Below are 2058 nucleotides of genomic sequence, written 5' to 3' on the forward strand. Positions count from 1 at the left end.
TGGTTTTATATTATGCAAAAGTGTGAATCGCACAGCCCAGAGTCACTGTCCCCTTTAAAGGGGGCTTTCTCTCTTGTCTTAAAAAACAGACCTCAGAAGGAGCCAGATGGTTCCCGTCTGCTGCCTTGAGTCAATGCACTTCCTCCCACAGACTGGAGCCCTTTTGCCCTCCTTCCTCCCCAGCTCCTCCCCACATTCTACCCCCCACCACTGGGCCTCCCTGTTTTGTCGCTAGAAATAATCTTTTATTGCCCAGTTGTTCGGAAGTGACCTTTTGCCCTTGATTAGATAGCACCAGGCTCCATCACCGGATTGCTTTTGAGCGGGCAGTTGCTTTTTTGTGTGGGCTGATCCGGTGTCAGGGAGAACAATGCAAGGCTTTGCAAAATTTTAGTATAGCTCAGGCCTCATGTGGAACAGGTGGGGGCGGGGAGACGCGGGGTTGAATAAAGCAGCCCAGTGGATCCTGGTTGCAAAAATACATTTTCTTTAGTAAACTGAAAAACAAATGGCATTTTAAAAAATTCACTTGTACATATTTAACTCATTCCTTAATAACCATGTATTTCAGAGGAATAGAAGATTACTCCAGGGTTTCAGTATATATTATTTAAGCATACAAATATTATTACAATTAAACTGACTTGAATATAACCTTACATTAGAATATTAATCAAATGGACTATTGAGTTTCTCACAGCAATTTTCCAGGTCTCAATTATTTTAAGTAACAAATATAATAATAAAACATATAACAAAGAATGAGTTTAATTATTGAAAGCTAACTCATTTTTTATTTTAAAAATTAGGGAAAAATATTCATGACTTTACATGCTTCCTAGGTAAAACGGTATTTGTGACTTTGTATCTTTCATAATAGTCCTTAAATTCTTTGGATTTAAAATTCTCAGGAATATCTGCCAGAACTAGTAGAGTGGGTGAGTTTGAAATTTTTGTTTTAACACCTTCAGTTTCACCCAGGAGATGAATATTCTGCTATACAGGCATAGCAGCATTTTGGGATTCTTTTAAAAGTTTATTAACATTAACATCTAAAATTTTGGTCAGGTACGATGGCTCACACCTGTCATTTCAACACTTTGGGAGGCCAAGGTGGGAGGATGGCTTGAGCCCAGGAGTTTGAGACCGGCCTGGGTAACCCTGTCTCTACAAAAAATAAAAAATTAGCTGGGCATGGTGGCACATGCCTGTAGTCTCAGCTACTCAGGAGGCTGAGGCAGAAGGATTGCTTGAGCCTGGGAGGTTGAGGCTGCAGTGAGCAGTGTTTGCACCACTGCACTCCAGCCTAGACAACAAAATGAGACCCAGTCTCAAAATAAAATAAAATAAAAATTTGCTGAGGCAGGAGAATCGCTTGAACATGGGAGGCAGAGGTTGCAGTGAGATCGCGCCACTGCACTCCAGCCTGGGTGACAGAGAGTGAGACTCTGTCTCAAAAAAATAAAAATAAAAATAAAAATTTGAAGTTTCTTAGTTCTCCATGTGAGGGGGAAAATGCCTACAGACCACGCAACCCTAAATTTTTGTTGTAGGTAATACTTAATGCTAATGTCCACACTGTTTCTTAACTCTTGGCCTGCCAATTGTGGTGGCTTAAAATGAATTCTACCTTTCTGCTTTATTTCAGAAGTTCTGGTCCGTGTTTTGTTTCATAGGTTTGCAGTGTTGGGATGTAACAGAGAGTTGGTGATTACTCAGTAGTAAAAAAAAAAAAAAAAATTTAAAAATCACAGGTAGGAGAATTGAGGACATAGTCTACTTGGTACTGACTCTTTTGTGGGTGGGGAGGGTGGGGAAAATCACAATTGTTTTTCAGTGTCACACAGGGGGGCTATATTTGCTACACAATGTGGAAAATATGTACATTAGCCTATACACAAAGGAAGTTAAAGATATAAATTGCAGAGTGAGTATTACCAGCTCCATTTTAGAGATGAAGCAGCAGGAACTCACCATCATGTAAATGTTCTAGATGTACCCAAACCAAGTCCAAGGTTCCCAATGGCCTTGTTTCAATGCTTAAGAATGGTTGTTTTC

This window comes from Homo sapiens, chromosome 4 (genome assembly GCF_000001405.40).
Source record: "Homo sapiens chromosome 4, GRCh38.p14 Primary Assembly".
Lineage (NCBI taxonomy): Eukaryota > Metazoa > Chordata > Mammalia > Primates > Hominidae > Homo > Homo sapiens.